At 42.8% G+C, this 18,471-nt stretch overlaps 1 protein-coding gene across 13 annotated transcripts in view, besides 1 other annotated feature; it reads left to right on the plus strand.

Moving 5' to 3' along the window:
* Positions 1-18,471, plus strand: part of EXTL3 (exostosin like glycosyltransferase 3) — a 148,827-nt gene that overhangs the window by 110,830 nt on the left and 19,526 nt on the right. For 12 of the 13 annotated variants that reach the window (NR_073468.2, XM_024447096.2, NM_001438401.1 and 9 more), the window contains one exon: positions 12,658-12,785. The exons of the other annotated variant lie outside the window; for it this stretch is intronic. Coding sequence is in view for 11 of the 12 variants with exons in the window: in XM_024447096.2 (XP_024302864.1) it covers positions 12,658-12,785 (128 nt within the window). In the remaining variant the exon portion in view is untranslated. The remainder of the gene's footprint in view (positions 1-12,657; positions 12,786-18,471) is intronic. 13 annotated transcript variants of the gene reach the window in all.
* Positions 7,529-8,028: an enhancer, noted in NCBI's record as "H3K4me1 hESC enhancer chr8:28583611-28584110 (GRCh37/hg19 assembly coordinates)". NCBI's record gives its function as "activates a minimal SCP1, AML or CMV promoter by ChIP-STARR-seq in primed H9 embryonic stem cells {active_cell/tissue: H9 hESC(primed)}" and the evidence as "EXISTENCE:reporter gene assay evidence [ECO:0000049][PMID:30033119]".

The following is an 18,471-nucleotide window of genomic DNA, read 5'->3' on the forward strand; positions in this document are numbered from 1 at the left end:
ATAAGCATTTTGTGACATATTATCGCTGTTTCTTCAGCTTATTCGTATGGGAGCTGAAGCTTAGGTTAATGAATTTGCCCAAGATCATGGTGAGTAATGGAGAAGCTGAGCTTTAGTATGTCTGATTCCAGAAGCGGCAGCTTTAGTCACCTCCCAAAGGGTTTAGGAAGGCCTGTGTCATTTTCCAGGTATTCATAGAAGTCTTTTGGAAGACTGGAGTTGGGGTTTGATATTTTGGAGTTGGAGAACCAACTCCAATTGAACCTTCCAGGGTGTCTTGTAGGTTCTTTCTCATTCTTTACTCCATCTCATGGTTAAGTGCTGTATTTTACAGGAAAAATAATAGCTAAATATGCAGGACAGGGCTTTAGTTCTGAGGAGTTTACCATCTTCAGAATTAAACTTGGCATTCTAGGAGAGAGATGGCGACCATCTCTCTTAAATGTGCAGCCTTAGAGCAGGTCTTAAGCAGACTGCCACCTATTTAACCTGCTGCATATGTAGTTACTTCCTGGCAGAAGGTAGCAAAAAGTCTGATGGGCCACACGTTGCTAGAAGTCTCGGTTTTTAAAAAATGTACTTCACTGGGAGGCCAATTCATTTGAATTATTTTTCTAAGCAGCAGCATGGTGTAATAAGTATGAGATTTGGAGTGATACAGACCTGGGATTAAGTAGTCATTTCGTGATCTTTGATAATTAGCTTTTTTGATCTCAGCATTAAAGAGGAAACTACGATAAGACAACTAAGGATTCTAGAAAGGTGCTCACTTATTTGATTCCTTCTTATCCCTTAATGTTAAAGGAGATGGAAGCCAGTATGTTTGTCTTGCCTATGCTCTGGGCAGCTTTAACTGACTTCACTCATAAAGGCTTCTTGTATCCTCTCTACATCATTTCTGTTTGTGTCATAGTTGTTACTGCCTACTTCCTTCTGTGCAAAGTGCCTCTTTGCTTTAAATTTTTTCTTACTGCTGCTAATCTTTTTTTAAATTTAATTGAATTTATAATTAGAAGCTATTCAAAGACTGTAGGGTTATAAATCCTTTTTATCCCAGTGTATTTTGTATATTAAGTTTTGTAAATAGGGAATTTTTTTAATAGACTTCTCAAAGTTCACTTTTTTTCTTTCTGTTACAACTTTATGTCATTGAAATTAAGAAAGCATTTGCTCTGTGAAAGATAGATGCTCCTCAAATAGTAGAATAATAGAGCAGCCATTGTTTTCCATTTTTCCTGAGTTTTCTTTGATTTTGATAGGGATGTAGAGAAGCTGGTGCCATACCAGTTAAGTTGACTGAAATTCATCAAGAACTTACCAGAATGAATCTTTTTTTAAAAACTCTGATGGGAAATAAGTAGTCCTGACTATTGGGCAGCCCATCGCAATAATACCTAATTGGAAAATGCCAGAAACTTTACAGATAGGCTATTCTAAACAGCTTTCTCATATTAGCAATACAAGTTTTTTTTCTGGTCCTTTTAAAAAAGAGGAAATAGCTTCAGATGGAGAATTTCACTCCATCCTGTAAATATTGTGGTTGTGCTTTCTATCTAGGAGAGGCGGGTGTTCTGGGGAACAGTTGAAGTTGCTGACATCTCGGATGTACCCAGCTATCAGAGCTAGAAAGAGACTGGTAGCTCTCTCTGCTATAGAAAAAGGGCACTACTGTGATACACCTCAGAGTGGGTTTTTCTTCTAGATGTAGACGTAGCCAATTCAATACGCTAAGGTTAATTTTTATAAATTTAGCACCAGGGTTGTTCCCAGGCATCAGTGAATCTACCCAGGAACCTCCGTGCCATTTCAGAAAGTGCTGGGCAATACGGGCTCCTCTTATGTTTAGGTTCCCACTAAGCAACAGGCATAAGTGCTGGGTGTTTGTGGGCTGTGAAGTGTATTGAGCCCCAGCTATTTTAAGTGGAGAAGGATTGTCTTAGGGGTGCCCCATAGGACTTATATGTTAAAATTCCTCATTCTTTTAAATAATTATTTGCATAAAAAGATCTAGCTTAGAGTGAAGGTGATCTTTATTGCCACCACCCTTGAACACTCCTGATTGAAATGCTCTGTGTAAAGAGAACTTCAGCACAAATGGGATGGTGGCGGGGCAAGGAGACAGGACTTGCAGAGAGATGGGAGAAGTGCCACCAGTTGAAGTGGGTCTCCCGTTGAATGGGGTAGGACTACCAAACAGAGGGGCGATGGTGAGTGTCTGCTCTCTCCCTTGCTCTTGTATATTTTGTAAACACATGGATCAGGTCCCTTAGCTCCTGGAGCATAACAACAAAGATATCTAATGAAAGCCAACTAGAGAGTATTATTATGCCAAGGGATTTGAGGTCTAGCCTTTTGAAAAACTCTCCACTATGTTGGGGACCACCACTTTCATGGCACCTGAAAGATGTTCCACTGTTTCCAGGCCTCCGTTGTTTCTGAGGATATATCAGTGGTTTTCAAATTTTTGTTTCCTTATATGTAAGGTGTGGTTTTCTCTGGCTACTTTTGAAATTTTTTCTTTGTATTTGGTTTTCAGCAGTTTGACTGTGGTATGCCTTAGCATGGTTTTCTTTGATTTTTATTCTGGAAAGTGTTGATATTTTTGTTTTAGTAGGTGGTTAGCTGTATTGACTCAGACTGAAAGCCCTGTCTCGTGAATGGCCACTCTCATGTTGAGTTCTTTTATATGTAGCTGGTCTGCTTACAGCCTGCACCAAGCATGCATGGCTTAGGGGTGGGCCAGAGACAGAGCAGTTTCTACGCAGAACTTGGAGCTCCCTCTCTCTGGCTTTCTCCTGTCTGGAATTTTCTCCATTCTTTCTACAGGCTGTGGTTACCTTACACATTTCCTTTACAGGCCAGAAAGACCATGGGTTTTGTATGAGAGTTTTAGCTGTCTTTCTTGGTACCAACTCTGGCCTACTCTCAGGGTGAAAGCAACAGTAATTCTCCCTGTGTCAGTAATTCCCTCCCTCTGAATTTTAGCACCCCTCCATAATTGGTTGTCTTTTGTTCACTCTCTAGTGCCTTCTGGAAATTCTTTTTTTGGTATTTTTGTGCAGAGGTTATAGTTGTCATCTGAGGGAGGACTGGGTCTGGCAGGGGCTTACTGAACTCTTCTGGAGGCAGAAATGCCAAGTAATCCCTTCTTGATAGATAGTCCCATTAAAAATTTTGGTTTGAGTTACTACTTTATTCTGACCAGTTTACACATCTTCCTTACTCTGCTTTATACTCTGGAAAATAGTAAGTAGGGTGGCTGTTTTAGAGTCTGTCCTTTTGGAGTTGTAACATGTGGGCTGTTAGGAAAGGGACATCTTTCATTTACTAACAGTGTAGTCTAGCTCACTCAAGGCATCACTTCCCTTCACACTGTATACTCACTGACTGCTGAGACAGTCTCTTGGCAGCCCGTCCCTGAGTCTTAGGTTTTCATTCTCTTCTTCATAAAGGGTATGGCTAATTGACGCAGGGTGCCTTGGAAGGGGGCTTTTAGAAGGGGTGACATTTGAGCAGAAGCCTGAATGAAGCGAGAGAGGAGGCCATGTAAATTCTGGAGGGATGTATGGGGAATGGCAAGCACCAGAAGCGATGCCCAGTGCATCCGGGTGGCGCGTTTGAAGGAGGTTGGAGAAGGCAGTGGGACCAGCAGGTGCAGGACAGTGCAGGTCGTGGTTAGGAAGTCTGGGTTTTATCCTGTCTGCCTTAGGATGCCCTTGGAGGGTGTTGAGCAGAGGAGGCACATGATTTTTATGGAACTATGGGGAAAAGAGCAGAAGCAAAAAGACTTGCAGTAGCCTAGGCGAGGAGCGGTGGTAGAGAGAACCAGTTCAGAGATCAGCATAGCACACATCCTTGCAGACTGCAAGGTCTCTGTGGAAGTGATGAGGTCAGAATGCACCATTTTTTTTCCAAATGAAAATGATAGTGCCGGGCGCAGTGGCTCACGCCTGTAATCCCAGCACTTTGGGAGACTGAGGTGGGTGGACTGCTTGAGCCTAGGGGTTTGAGACCAGCCTGGGCAACATAGGGAGACCCCATCTCTACAAAAAAATAGAAAAAATTAGCCAGGCATCATGCATGTCTGTAATCCAGGCTCTTGGGAAGCCGAGGTGAGGGGATTGCTTGAGCCTGGTAAGTCAAGGCTGCAGTGAGCTGTGATTGTGCCACCGCGCTCCAGCCTGGGTGATAGAGGGAGACCCTGTCTCTAAAAAAAAAAAAAAAAAAAAAAGAGAGATACAAGATTATTATTTTTCAATGCCCTTTTCCCTCTGTCCCAGCCCTTGATATTCAAATTGAACAGGGAGAGTTCTTTTTTTGGGTAATATAAATATCATTCCAGGGGAGTTATTTTCATCCTCTCCCCAGTAGTCTATTAGGGAAAAGGGAAGACTGGAAGAGAAGCTGCATCCGTAGTGCACTCTTGGCGTCAGGAACTTTCTGGCTGGGGACTCCGCCTCTCAGGCTAAGAGGCTTGGCTTCTGGCTAGACCTCAGGCAAGAGAGTGGAGATCATTCTCAGGGCTTACTCCTTAAAGTGTTGGTAAGCTGTATTTTTTTATTTCTGCCCACTCTACTTTTAAAAATATCCCTTGAACGAATGAGACGATAATTTCCTAAAATTGTGATAGCTAGGTGAAGCCAGCAGGAAAAACCTTGTCCAGCTTCTCCAGGTCCAAGACTGTGCAAGGTCTGGTGCACTTCACTAGGAGCTGGCACATCTGGGTGGTTCGTCTTTCTCTTTGACAACATTTTACTTAATAACTTGGTGGCTATAGCTGTGGGTTTCTGTTTGCGAATGGGCTGTATGGCTGCAAAGGAAAATTATATAAAACAAGGCTACCCCGAACCAAAAATGAATACTAAGAAATACAGAAGTTGAAAGCAATTGCTGGAAAGTCATGTTGCATAATTTACTAATTGCAGCAAATTGATTCTTGAGGTAATGTCTTCCCCTCTTAGTGTATGTGTACTCTTTTTACTAATTCAAAGTAAGGAATCTGAGACTGTAAGAATTCTGTTGCTTCAGGTCACTTGACTAACTGATACCTGTATTAGAATGAGGGCTCAGGACTGTTTTTTTTTTTTTTTTTTTGAGACAGAGTCTCACGCTGTTGCCCAGGCTGGAGCACAGTGGTGTGATCTTGGCTCAGTGCAGTCTCCACCTCCCAGGTTTAAGTGATTCTTGTACCTCAGCCTCTTTTGTAGCTGGGACTACAGGCGCATACCACCACGCCTGGCTAATTTTTGTATTTTTAGTAGAGTCAGGATTTTGCCATGGTGGCCAGGCTGGTCTCGAACTCCTGACCTTAGGTGATCTGCCCATTTCTGCCTCCCAAAGTACTGGGATTACAGGTGTGAGCCACCACCAGCACCAGGTCTTAGGACTTCTGACAATAGATATGTATTTTTTTTCTTTTTTTTTTTCCACGTGTAAATTTCTTGGAGAAGCACAAACTTGTTTTTTTAAATAAAGATATGTATAAAATATAGAAAATGTATAAAAATTAAAATACATACAGAATATGAAATATACATGTAAAATGTATGAAAATTAAAATAGAGACTGCTAATATCATGTTATAATAATTGTTAACAGTTTTTGGGCATTTTCTGTGTGCTAGGCACTGTGGATGGTCTTTATCTGCATTCTCTCATTTGTTGACCTGCTAACCTAGGCTTTCTTACCTGCACTTGCACTGGGATCATTGGCAACTTTTTCTCTTATAAGTTAAAACAGACTTGTCTCATCTAAAACATGTACAATTTTGTTTGTACTGTATGACATCCCTGTGTAAAGTTATAAATGGAAAACCAATGCACTGTTACCTTCTTATTCTCTTTTCTTCCTTTGCGTTTTCTTGCTTTCTGCCCCATCACTTGACGTTTATTGAATGAATCCCTTAAATAATGTAGTCCTTGGCTGGGTGTGGTGGCTCACGCCTGTAATCCCAGCACTTTGGGAGGCCGAGATGGGTGGATCGCGAGGTCAGGAGTTTGAGACCAGCCTGGCCAAGATGGTGAAACCCTGTCTCTGCTTTAAAAAAAAAAAAAGAAGAAGAAAAAAAGAAAAAAAAATACAAAAATTAGCCAGGTGCAGTGGCGGACGCCTGTAATCCCAGCTACTCAGGAGGCTGAGGCAGGAGAATCGTTTGAACCCAGGAGGCAGAGGTTGCAGTGAGCCGAGATCGTGCCACTGCACTCTAGTCTGGGTGACAGGGCAAGACTCCATCTCAATAATAATAATGATGATGATGATGTAGTCCTCTTTCTATCATCTTCTCTCTGTCGCTCACCTCCCTCCCATCGCTCACCTCCCTCCCCACTCACTTCAAGCTCTGTTACCTAGGTCCTCCTGAGCTGGGTGGGCATGACTGTGTGCCTCTTCCTGGATCTCATTTTCCTCATTCCTGAGTTCTCTGATGGTTCCTCTTTTAAGTTGGAGGAAGGGGATGATGGAGAACTAAGGTCAGTTGCTGTTTCCTTTCTTGCCTGTGTGATGGCTTGATGTTAAGTTTCATTCTCAGATATGGATTTGCTATAGGGATGTATTATGTACGTATATATGTTTTGTTGGAGGATGGAGATTGTCGGGCTTGGCTGGGCCGGATGTAATCTGAAAAGGGGCATTTCAAGTGTATTTAAATGGCCAAATTTCATAGGTGGCAGGTTCCAGGCCACGATTGCTGTCCCTTTTCCTTTGTGATAGGAGAAGGTCAAGGGTCCCGTGAATGATATTGTGCAGAAGAGCTAGCGAGGCACCGTCAGGGAGCCCTGTGTGTGAGACAGGCCAAGCAAAGAGTGGGCATTGCTCCTGGCTTGATGGAGGTGGATGGGTTTTTTGCTATAGAAAACTACACTAAATACTAAGAGGTTTCCTAATTCCTCTCTATCATTCTTTAAGATTATTAAAGATATTGAATGTTTACCTATAATTTTGATCTAGAAACTTCTCAAGTCTTTATTTCATATTCTGTAAATAGAATGGCAGGGCTAAATTATGTTCTATTTTCTGCCCATTCATTCATTTATAAAACATTTGTTGAACATCTGCTATATTGCCAGGCACTGTGGTCTATTCATTTTGGTTAATGTCATACCAGTAATTAAAGCAATCACTTGAAAGTGAGTCTTCCTGTTTGCAAGTTACTAAGATGTAATCATAAGGCATCTAATAGCAATATGCTGTAGTAACATGAAGAAATAGCCAGTATTGTGGGGTTGAGGGAAGAGTGTTGGTTTGATTTGAAACAAAACAACATCAACAAAAATGAGAACCTTTCCTAAATATGACACAGTCCCTCTGGTTGACTTGTTTCTTTTATGTTCGATCTGTCTTTTCTCAGATTCTTAGAGGCCGTGCTGATCTGTGAGTCTGCATTTAGAAGTGTTTTTTTTTTTTTTTTTCCGAGATGGAGTCTCGCTCTCTCACCCAGGCTGTGGTGCAGTGGCACAATCTCGGCTCACTGCAGCCTCTGCCTCCCGGGCTCAAGCAATTCTCCTGCCTCAGCCTCCTGAGTAGCTGGGATTACAGGCGCACACCACCACGCCCGGCTAATTTTTGTATTTTTAGTAAAAACTGGGTTTCACTATGTTGGCCAGGATGGTCTGGATCTCTTGACCTTGTGATCCGCCCGCCTCGGCCTCCTAAAGTGCTGGGATTACAGGCGTGAGCCACTGCGCCCGGCCTGCATTTAGAAATGTTTGAGCCTTTCTGTTCTTCTGATTTTGGTGCCAGAATGGATAATAGTTGGTTTGCTGAGCTTTTGTTTAGCCATTAAGCACTGCAGCTTTGAAGCAAAACTGTTAGAAGAAAACTTTTACTCTTCCACCCATTTAGTTTTAGTTGGCGTTTGCAAAGTTTGTGAGGGCAGAAATCTTTTTGCGGCTATAGGGAAAAGGGGAACATCTTAGGTAATGAACTATAGTTAGTCTTCCAAGTGCTGTTTTGGTTTACTGTCTTCCTGCAGGTTGACTCTAAATCAGGGTGTTTCAGCAGTGGCACAGTGACATTTTGGGTCAGATAATTCTCTGTTGTGGGGGCTGTCTTGTGCACTATAGGATCTGGCAGCATCCCTGGCTTCTGCCCACTAGATACTAGACGCAAGTAGCGCACCCTTTTCTCCAGTTGTGACAACCAAAAATCCCTTCAGACATTGCCACATGTAGCCCGAGGCAAAATTGTTCCTGGTTGAGAACCACTGCTCTGAATTCTTAAAGCTGACTTACTGACTGCAGTTAGTTTTGTCAGCTAACTGACAAAACTGTAGTGCTTGGTGTTGTGTTTCTGTGAATCTTTAACAGCTTTTCTTTTCTTTTTTTTTTTTTTTTTTTTTGAGACGGAATCACTGTTGCCCAGCGTGGAGTGCAGTGGTGCAATCTTGGCTCACTGTAACCTCCACTTCCTGGGTTCAAGCGATTCTCCTGCCTCAGCCTCCTGAGTAACTGGGATTACAGGTGCCCTCCCCCATGCCTGGCTAGATTTTTAAAAAATTATTTTTAGTAGAGATGGGGTTTTGCCATATTAGCCAGGCTGGTCTTGAACTCCTGACCTCAGGTGATCCACCCGCCTTGGCCTCCCAAAGTGCTGGGATTACAGGTGTGAGCCACCATGCCTGGCCCTTTTATTCTGATTGCTGTTCTGATTGTTAAAATGCAGTTTGCTATACCTGAACAGCTGTTGTCATCCAGCCCAGAGCAGTTGTGCTCAGAGGGTGAGCAGAGATGGCAGGCGCCCTGTGTTCCTGGAGTCCTTAGTAGTTGTTCTCTTGTTGCTTCTTGATATCTAAGTAATGGACTTTAATAAACTTACTAAAAAAAACTAGTGTGAAATCTAGGCCAAAACACTTTGATATTTGACCTCCAGCTGCATGACCCCACCTAAGTCTTCTAAAGCACAAGTAGGTTCTCTTGATTTGGTTGTTTGTAAATTAGATAATTTTGGATATGATCTAGATATCAAATCATTGTAGTTTTTCTTGTTTTTCGTTTTCAGGTGCAGAGTTAGGTTGTTTATAGGATTGTCAAGTTTGGCTGATAAGTAACTTCAGATTTTGCAAACAGTGTGGTGCTATGTTGATTTAGCAGAGAGGGTGCTGGCATTCACACGTCTAGTAAGAGGAAGAGTTGGAATTTGAACCCAAGCTTTTCTGATTGGCCCCAAAGCCATGCTTTCTCCCTCTGTACCAGTGCTTCTCCCCATTTAATGTGCACAGGAATCCCCCAGGGGCATGTTAAAATGCAGATTCTGACTCAGTGGGCTTGGGGTGTGCCTGCACTCCTACAGGCTCCGGTGGTGTGTGCTGCTGGTCTTCGCCTCACACTTTGAACTCTGAAGCTCCTTGCTATATTCCTGGTTTACTAATTGTGCTGTAGATAATCCACCTGAAGGTTAACCCACAAAACTGATAATCTACAAGCCAATATTCAAGAACTGAAGTGGTTTTTCTTCATTTTAAGCTGTGTGAGGGGGAGCTTTGTTTGGCTGAATTGGCAGAATCAGTTCTGTACTGAGTGAATGCTAGGTGTGTTAGGTAAAGTGAATGTTCGAGGGGAGTTTGTTGAGGGAGTTTGTGAACAGCTACCATATGCCGTCATTTCCAAGGCGGACCTTATTTTACATTTTGTCATCTCTGAAATTGAGATGTGTCTTACAATGGATGGCCTCTTACCATTGCTGAGCTTGCCATTCAAGTCCGGCCCCTTCTTGCCACCCTCCCGCCCTTTGGCGAGTGGAACCGACAGCTGCTAAGGTGAGCACTTGGCATCTGCTCTCCTTGCTGCTCTCTCGTCTGACCTAGGCCTCACTCGGTCCTTCGTTTTGTCATTGTGGACTCTGAGCTTAGGATACCCTGGGCTGTACACTTGGGAATTTTTATGCTGGTCAGACATGCTGCAGGGCAAGGTGGATTTCTCGGTCTGTTGCTTGGCTTGGACATCTGTTAACTGTGGTGGCGAATCTGTTACAGATCCTTCTTTGTCTTGAGTTGGGCAGGACCTCCTCTGGGGCTGAGGTGAAGTCTTAAAGAAAGCTCTGGCCAAGAGTGTTGACTCTTGCCTGTAATCCTGTCACTTTTTTTGGAAGGCTGAGGGAGGGGGAATGCTTGAGACCAGGAGTTTGAGGCCAGTCAAGGCTACATAGCCAGAACGTGTCTCTACAAGTTTTTTTTGAAATTACCCAAGTGTGGTGGTGCATGCCTGTAGGTCCCAGCTACTTGGGGAGCTGAGACAAGAGGATCAATCACTTGAGCTAATGAGCTCTAGGCTGCAGTGAGCTATGATAGCACCATTGCACTCCAGCCTAGGTGACAACTCAAGACTCCATCTCTTAAAAGAAAAAAAAATTTAAGTTCTGTAATCAAGTAAACAAGGGATCATCAATTTCACATGCCTTCTTAATTGGCAACATTGTTTTTTCTTGATGGTACACAGATTAATAATGCATTTTCAGGCCAGGTGTGGTGACTCATGCCTGTAATCCCAGCACTTTGAGAGGCTGAGGCAGGCAGATGCCATGAGATCAGGAGTTCGAGACCAGCCTAGGCAATATGGTGAAACCCTGTCTCTACAAAGATAAAAAAATTAGCTGGGCATGGTGGTATCTGCTTGTAGTTCCAGCTACTTGGGAGGCTGAGGCAGGAGGATCACTTGAGCCTGGCAGGTGGAAGTTGTAGTGAGCCGAGATCACACCACTGCATTCCAGTCTGGGCCACAGTGAGACTCTATCTCAAAAAAAAAAAAAAAAAAAAATGTCTGGGTGCAGTGGCTCGTGCCTGTAGTCCCAGCACTTTGGGAGGCCAAGGTGGGCGGATCATGAGGTCAGGATTTCAAGACCAGCCTGGCCAAGATGGTGAAACCCCGTCTCTACTAAAAATGCAAAAAAATAGCCAGGCGTGGTGGTAGGCGCCTGTAATCCCAGCTACTTGGGAGGCTGAGGCAGGAGAATCACTTGAACTCAGAGGGCAGAGGCTGCAGTGAGCCAAGATTGCGCGACTGCACTCCAGCCTGGGTGACAGAGTGAGACTCCATCTCAAAAAAAAAAAAAAAAAAAAAAAAAAAAGCATTTTCTATGGTGGCTTTGGTTTGAAGAAGTTTATAAAGTTAACAAAAGTTTATCAGGAAAAGGACTGGGTTTGGAATCAAAGTATGAGTTAGGACCGGGCGTGGTGGCTCATGCCTGTAATCCTTGCACTTTCGGAGCCGAGATAGGAGGATCTCTTGAGCTCAGGAGTTCGAGACGCCTGGGGGGAACATAGTGATGAGACTTCGAGAACTCGCTTTTTTTTTTTTTTTAAAGTTATGAATTAGAGTTTTGGCTCTTGCAACTTGCCAGTTGTATGACATCACTCTGGGCCTCAGTTTCTGCATGTGTAAAGTGACAGACGCTATAGTCTCCAAAGCCCTTCTAGCTCTGAATTAATTGGATTTTAAGTGTGCTAGAATGAATTAATTGAAGTATGAGGGCTCTGCATTAAGAATATAGAATAAATGATTCTCCTGGCAAGGAGGGTGTGGCAAGAGGCATCTGAACTGGACCTCCAGGGGGAGGATGGAAGAGAAGGTATTTGAAGTTGAAGAGACATGCTAGTAGGTCACAGAGCTCCTTGGAAACCATTCATAAATTTAAGTCCTCGGATGCAGTTAATTCATGCCAGGTAGAGGTTGTTCTCAGTACAAGTAAAATAGTCTGTTGGAAGTAAGGTGATTTTTCGTGGCATTCTAAAAAGATTATTCTTCATGAGATGCTCTTTGTTTTTGGGGTTTGAGAACAAAATAATGGTTCCCCTTTGGTTGGACTAATTAGACAAAGACACTCTAAGAATAAAATGAGCCATCCAAGTACTGGCTGTGGTCATCATTTATATGAGTATTAGGTGGCAAGGTGAATAACACAGCTACTCACCCACACTGTAGGTAAACTATACTTAACTGAGATATGGTTAAATAAAAATTGTTTCATTATGTAGTTGTACTATTTGAAGCACCAGTTTCTGTTTTATGAAGGAAATACTGCTTTGCATGTATGTTGAATCACTTAGATGTGTTTTGAATTGGGATTTGCTGAAGACGCAGAAGCTGTTGTACTTGAGTACATGATACCTTGAAAAGAAGGAAAAAGTTTGTGTACGAGTAGTCAGCATTGTAGGTAGGAATTTCAAAGGTGAAGTAACTAATCTCGACCAGATGGGCTGTGCTCTTTTTTGGGATTTATATCCCAAAAAGGCGTTAGAATTGGGAGTCAGAAGTGACAGACTCATGAGGTTTCTGAGTTGGGTTTTAAAATTAACAAGCATGCTGGGAATTCCATAGCCATTGGAATCTCAGATCCACTCTGCCACCTTGTGTTCTCTTGGGAGAGTTGTTTTTAATTTCCCTACATCGTGTTTATTGCGTGTATAAAATAATCTTCAGCTTTTGCTTGATTCACAAGAAAATTAGCTAACTAATGAATGAAGCTTAAAAGGTAAATCTATATACATTTATTGAAGTATAAGGCAGCTTTTATTCCTGAAAGGCATATGCTAGATTTTACAAGCGCGGAGATCAGGCAAAATTATTCAGTAAATCCAGCCATGGTCTCCTTGGACCTAAATACAGATTTTGTTTGGCCTTTCATAACACAGCCTTAATTTTTAATGTTTTTCCTTCCTCATCACAGGTGGTCCGTACTGAGAAGAACAGTTTGAACAACCGATTCTTACCCTGGAATGAAATTGAGACAGAGGCCATCCTGTCCATTGATGACGATGCTCACCTCCGCCATGACGAAATCATGTTTGGGTTCCGGTGAGAGACTAATTTCCAATCAAAACTTTAGGTTGCAAGTGACAGAAAACCTGGATTAGGCTGCAAAATGAATTTTTTGGCTGATGGTAACTGAGAACCCCTTGCAGATAGTCAGGGCTGATGTAGGACGTGGCTGGATGCAGGCTCGTAGATGGCGTTGGAGGAGTCCATCTCTCTTCATCTGTAGGCTCCGCTCTGTGTTCCCACAGGCCTTTCCTCTGTGGCCAGGAAGGTGGAATTCTTTGATTGGCTAGACCCTGGTTACCTGCCTGTTCCTGGTGCTGCAGGTGTATCATCCTTAAATCCAAACCACATGGGCAGAGAGTAGAGGCAACGGGTAGGGTAGTTCTCTAAAGGAAATAGGAGGGTTTTGTTTTTAGAGGAATGGGAAGGCAAAAGTGACATGTTGCTGTGTGTTGGAGCAATGGAACAGTGCCAGGATCCTGGACCCAAAAAGATTTGGGGGAAGGAGGGTGTCAGAAGCAATGATTTAAAAGGAAAAAGAAGGGGAGGAGGAAAAGGAGGTGGTGGTAATGATGATGATGATGATGATGGTAAACATATGTTGAACCCGTACTGTGTGCCAGGGACTAGCCTAGGACTTTGTCTTATCTCATTCATCCTTCTAAAATTTGATGACATAAATTGTAGCTGTCTCCATTTCATGTAGGAGTAAATTGAGATAGAAGAGAACAGAACCACGTAGAAGCTAGAAAGTGGCAGCAGAGCTCTGGGTTCAAATGCAGGTTTGTCACACTCCCAACCTGCACCCGGCCTTCAACTCTCCTGCCTTCTTGAGTCTTAGGAATTGCTGAAGGATCCCACTTGAGGGTCACTGCAGGGAAGAGGATGGAGTAGATGAAGGCTACTCCAGGTATCTCAGGGACTGGGATGTTGGTTTAGGGACAGTTTGTTACCTGTTAATGGTGAGGTAAGTACAAAAATTGAGGGTAAGCATTCAGAAACTTGTAAAGCAATTTGACATTTACTATGAAATCCAAGTATATGATTATTTTTCTTGCAGTTCTTTTTTTTACAACATTTCTTCAATATAATTCATACCCCATAAAATTCACTCATTTAAGTGTACAATTCAGTGGTTTTAGTATATTCAGAGTTGTGCAAACATCACCATGGTTAATTTTAGAAATCTTCATCACCACTGAAAGAAACCCTGTACCTATTAACAGCCACTCCCAATTTTTCTCCAAACCCCTCAGTCCTAGGTAGCCACTCAATCTTTGCATCTCTATAGATTTGCCTATTCTGGACATCTTCTATAAATAGAACTGTACAACGATGCATGGCCTTTTGTGACTCTCTTCTTTCACGGAACATGATGTTTTCAAGGTTCATCCATCTTGTAGCAGGTACCAGTTCTTTTTTATTTTGAGATGGAGTCTCACTCTGTTGCGCAGGCTGGAGTGCAGTGGCTTGATCTCAGCTCATTGCAACCTCTGCCTCCCAGGTTCAAGCGATTCTTTCATGTCAGCCTCCCGAGTAGCTGGGATTACAGGTATGGACCACCACCATGCCAAGCTAATTTTATTTTTTGTATTTTAGTAGAGATGGGGTTTCACCATGTTGCCCAGGCTGATCTTGAACTCCTGAGCTCAGGCAACCTGCCCGCCTCGGCCTCCCAGAGTGCTGGGATTACAGGCATGAGCCACGGTGCCCAGCCCAGGTACCAGTTCTTCATTCATTTTCTGTTGATGGATATTTGGGTCATTTCTATTTCTTGGCTATTATGAATAATGCTGTGAACCTTCATGCGCAAGTTTTTGTATGAACATGTCATTCCTCTTGAGTGGATACCTAAGAGTAATGTGGGTGGATCATGATAGCTGCTTTAACATTTTGAGCCGGTCAGGCTGTTTTTCACGGTGGCAGCCCCATATTGCATTCTCACCAGCAGTGTATGAAGGTTCTAGCTTCTCCACATCTTCGTCAATGCTTGTTATTTTCCATTTTCAAAATTTATAGCCGTCCTAGTCATTGTAAAGTGATAACTAATTTTATATATAAATGTGTGTGTGTGTGTATGTGTGTATATATACACACACACACAGATGGGGTCTCACATTGTTGCTGAGGCTGGAGTGCAGTGGTGCAATCTTAGCATGTGGTAACCTTGAACTCCTGGGCTCAAGTGATCCTCCTGAGTAGCGGGGACTACAGGCTCACATTACCACACCTGGCTAATCTTTACATTTTTTTTTTTTTTTTTGTACAGATGGGTTCTCACTTTATTGTTCAAGCTGGTCTGAAACTCCTGGCCTCGAGCAAGCCTCCCAAGTGCTGGGATTACAGGCATGAGCCACAGCACCCGGCCATACAGTTGTGATTTGCATTTCTCTCAATGATGTTGAGCTTCTTTTCATGCGCTTATTGATCAGTTAGCCTTTGTATATCTTCTTTGGAGAAACGGCTTTTCACATTCTTTGCCCATTTTTGTTTGGATTGTCGTCTTTTTTTTTTTTTTTCTGACACAGAGTCTCGCTCTGTTACCCAGGCTGGAGTGCAGTGGTGTGATCTTGGCTCACTGCAAGCTCCACCTCCCGAGTTCACGCCATTCTCCTGCCTCAGCCTCCCAAGTAGCTGGGACTACAGGCGCCTGCCACCATGCCTGGCTAATGTTTGTATTTTTAGTAGAGACAGGGTTTCACCATGTTGGTCAGGCTGGTCTCGAACTCCTGACCTCAGGTGATCTGCCCGCCTCGGCCTCCCAAAGTGCTGGGATTACAGGCATGAGCCACCGCACCAGGCCAGGATTGTCTTTTTATTATCACGTTATAAGAGTTCTTTATATATTCTAGATGCAAGTCCATTATCAGTGATTGGAGTTGCACAATTTTCTCCCATTCCATGGGTTATTTTCTTGCTTTCTTGATGGTATTATTTGAAGCACAGGGTTCGTGTTTTGAAGTTCAGTGGATCTATTTTCTTTGGTTGCTTGTGCTTTGGATGTCATATTTAAGAAACCAGGCAGTTCATTTTTGTTGTATTTTACCAAAGTATTAATCTATAATAATTTTGGGGAAAAATTAGTTCTTCCCCACATCATTTGAAAACCACTGGAGGCCGGGTGTAGTGGCTTACACCTGTAATCCCAGCATTTTGGGAGGCCAAGGCAGGTGGATCACCTGAGGTCAGGAGTTTGAGACCAGCCTGGCCAACATGGTGAAACCCTGCCTTTACTAAAAATATAAAAATTAGCGGGGCGTGTTGGCGTGCGCCTGTAATCCCAGCTACTCAGGAGGCTGAGACAGGAGAATTGCTTGAACCCAGGAGGTGGAGGTTGCAGTGAGCCAAGATCATGCCACTTCTAGCCTGGGCAACAGAGCTAAAACAAAACAAAACAAAACAAAACAAAAAAAACACTGGAGTAGATTTCTTTGGCGATCTTTTTCAAATTAAGTGTGGATCCAGGATAGAGAGAGTTCTTTCTCTGTGCTTCCATTCTGTTCACTGAAGGCCTAACCTGACCTACCTGGCTCTGGAGCTGCCTTTGGCTTAGGCTTGTAAGAGCAGATGCTCAGATAAAAGGAGCAGAGGCTTTATTGCTCATCTGTCTTAAATCCATCTGTAAAGAATGATTTGACACATTTCTGAAAAATTAGAACATCTGTTCTTATTCTCCCCCACCCAGCCTCTCACATTTCCTTTGACCTCTTGCTTAGTGTATTATTGAACCAAGTCTATTGACAGCTGTGATTAAAAAAAAAATCCTGGTAAACCGAGGTGTATTTTTTTTACACGATAATAGTAGCTGACTCTCTCCACTTGTTTTTATGAAAGGAAAAAAGCCATGCAGTAACTCCAGGCATGATCTTTGCTGCTGCAGGTGGTAGTGGTGGGGGTGGGCGGTAGGGAGTGTGTTTATGCTGCAGCGTGATGCAGTTTGGAGCGTGCCGAAGGACTGGCGTGGTGAGCATAGTCGTGGAGTGTTAACAGGAGAACTGCCAACCCTTAGATCCAAGAATGATTTTGATAAGGAGCCCAGCTTTAAGGAGTTTGAAGCCTATTAACATAGCTGGCATTAACATAGCTTCCAAGCCCCTGATTTAGGGACTTCTTACCTTGCCCGTGCTATTTTCCAGCAGATTTGCAGGTGGTGAGAGAATAATGGGAAGCCTTTTAATGTGTCTCTTAACTGTCATTCATGTTTGAGATTTAGCCTCTGGTAATGGAGCTGGTGAATTATCATTGCTGTCTATACATCCTAACCTTTTCCTACCCTGACCCTTTTCTCATGCATTTGGGCATCCTTTGATCTAAAACCTTTCTCTTATTAATCTCCCCAATTTGCTTATTTCACCTTAATGGGAATGAAACAGACCTAAGTTCAAAGGAAAGGGTAAGTCTAAGAATTCTTTCTTCTGGCAAAGATAGATCTTGACTCACTTCAACTTAGGTAGCCAAGAAAGAGGCAGATACAATCAATCATAAGGGACAGAAAAGGTATACCAAGAGACTTGAGAGCATGTGTCCATACAGAAAGGAATACACAAATGGCCAGAGCAGCGTTATTCGTAACAGAAGTGCAAACAACTCAGAGGGATAAATACTGTGGTTCCATTATGTGAGGCCCCTAGGTAGTCATTCATAGAGACGGAGAGTAGAATAGGGGCTGCCGGGCTGTGGGAAGGTGGGAGTGGGGATTAGTGTTTAATGGGGACAGAGTTTCCGTTTGGGAAGATGAAAGAGTTCTGGAGATGGATGGCAGGGATGGTTGCACGACACTGTGAATGTCCGTAATGCCACTGAACCATACATTTAAAAATGATTAAGATGGTATATTTTATGTTTGTTTTGCCACAATTTAAAAAAAATCAGTTGTCTAAAAAAACCCACCTAGAAGGCTGTTACATTGTGATAGAAGTTGTGATTTCTCCTCTTTTGGATTAGATTAGATGCTTCTAGACTTATTAGGAGAGGAACTCTGTTGAAATAAAATCTTCTGTGTCTTAGGAACTGAAGTTCCATGTAAGTGATGAGGGAGTTTGCAGGCAGTTTAAATCTCTGGCAGCCTTTCTGCAGGCCTGTCAGGTCCTGTGGAGCTTAAACGCTTTCAGTTCTCCAATTTATCCTGTGAAACTGGGGACCAATTTTATTTGTTCTAATTTACCTATAAATTTGGAGATGATATAGAAGTTTCTACTGAAACATACTGAAGTCTCCATTTATTTCTTCCATTTAATGAAACCTTTCAGTTGTATGGTTCTGTAGGCCACTTCTCATCATACATGTTTCTCCGTCAGCCCTGCTCAAATTTGGAATTAGGAGTGGTGCAGTTCAGTAGTCTTCTGTGGTTAAACCAGTGCTCTCTAAACCTTTTTATTATGTTCCTTCTCTGTAAAAGAAAAGTGTGCAATATATGTAAATTACATACATGTCCTTCTGAACTAATATGTCATGCTTATTAAAAACAAAGCCTTTCTTAGAAAATGCTTGTTCATTCATTCATTTTTAGAGCCAGATCTTGCTCTGTTGCTCAGGCCAAGGGAGGTGGTGCAATCATAGCTAACTGCAGCCTTGAACTCCTAGAATCAGGCAGTCCTTCCACCTCAGCCTCCCAAGTAGCTGGTAGTACAGGTGTGCTCCACCATACCCAGCTAATTACAAACAAAAATTTTTTTTTGTAGAGACAGGATCTTGCTATGTTGCCCAGGCTGGTCTCCAGCTC

The sequence above is a fragment of the Homo sapiens genome, chromosome 8 (genome assembly GCF_000001405.40).
Source record: "Homo sapiens chromosome 8, GRCh38.p14 Primary Assembly".
NCBI lineage: Eukaryota > Metazoa > Chordata > Mammalia > Primates > Hominidae > Homo > Homo sapiens.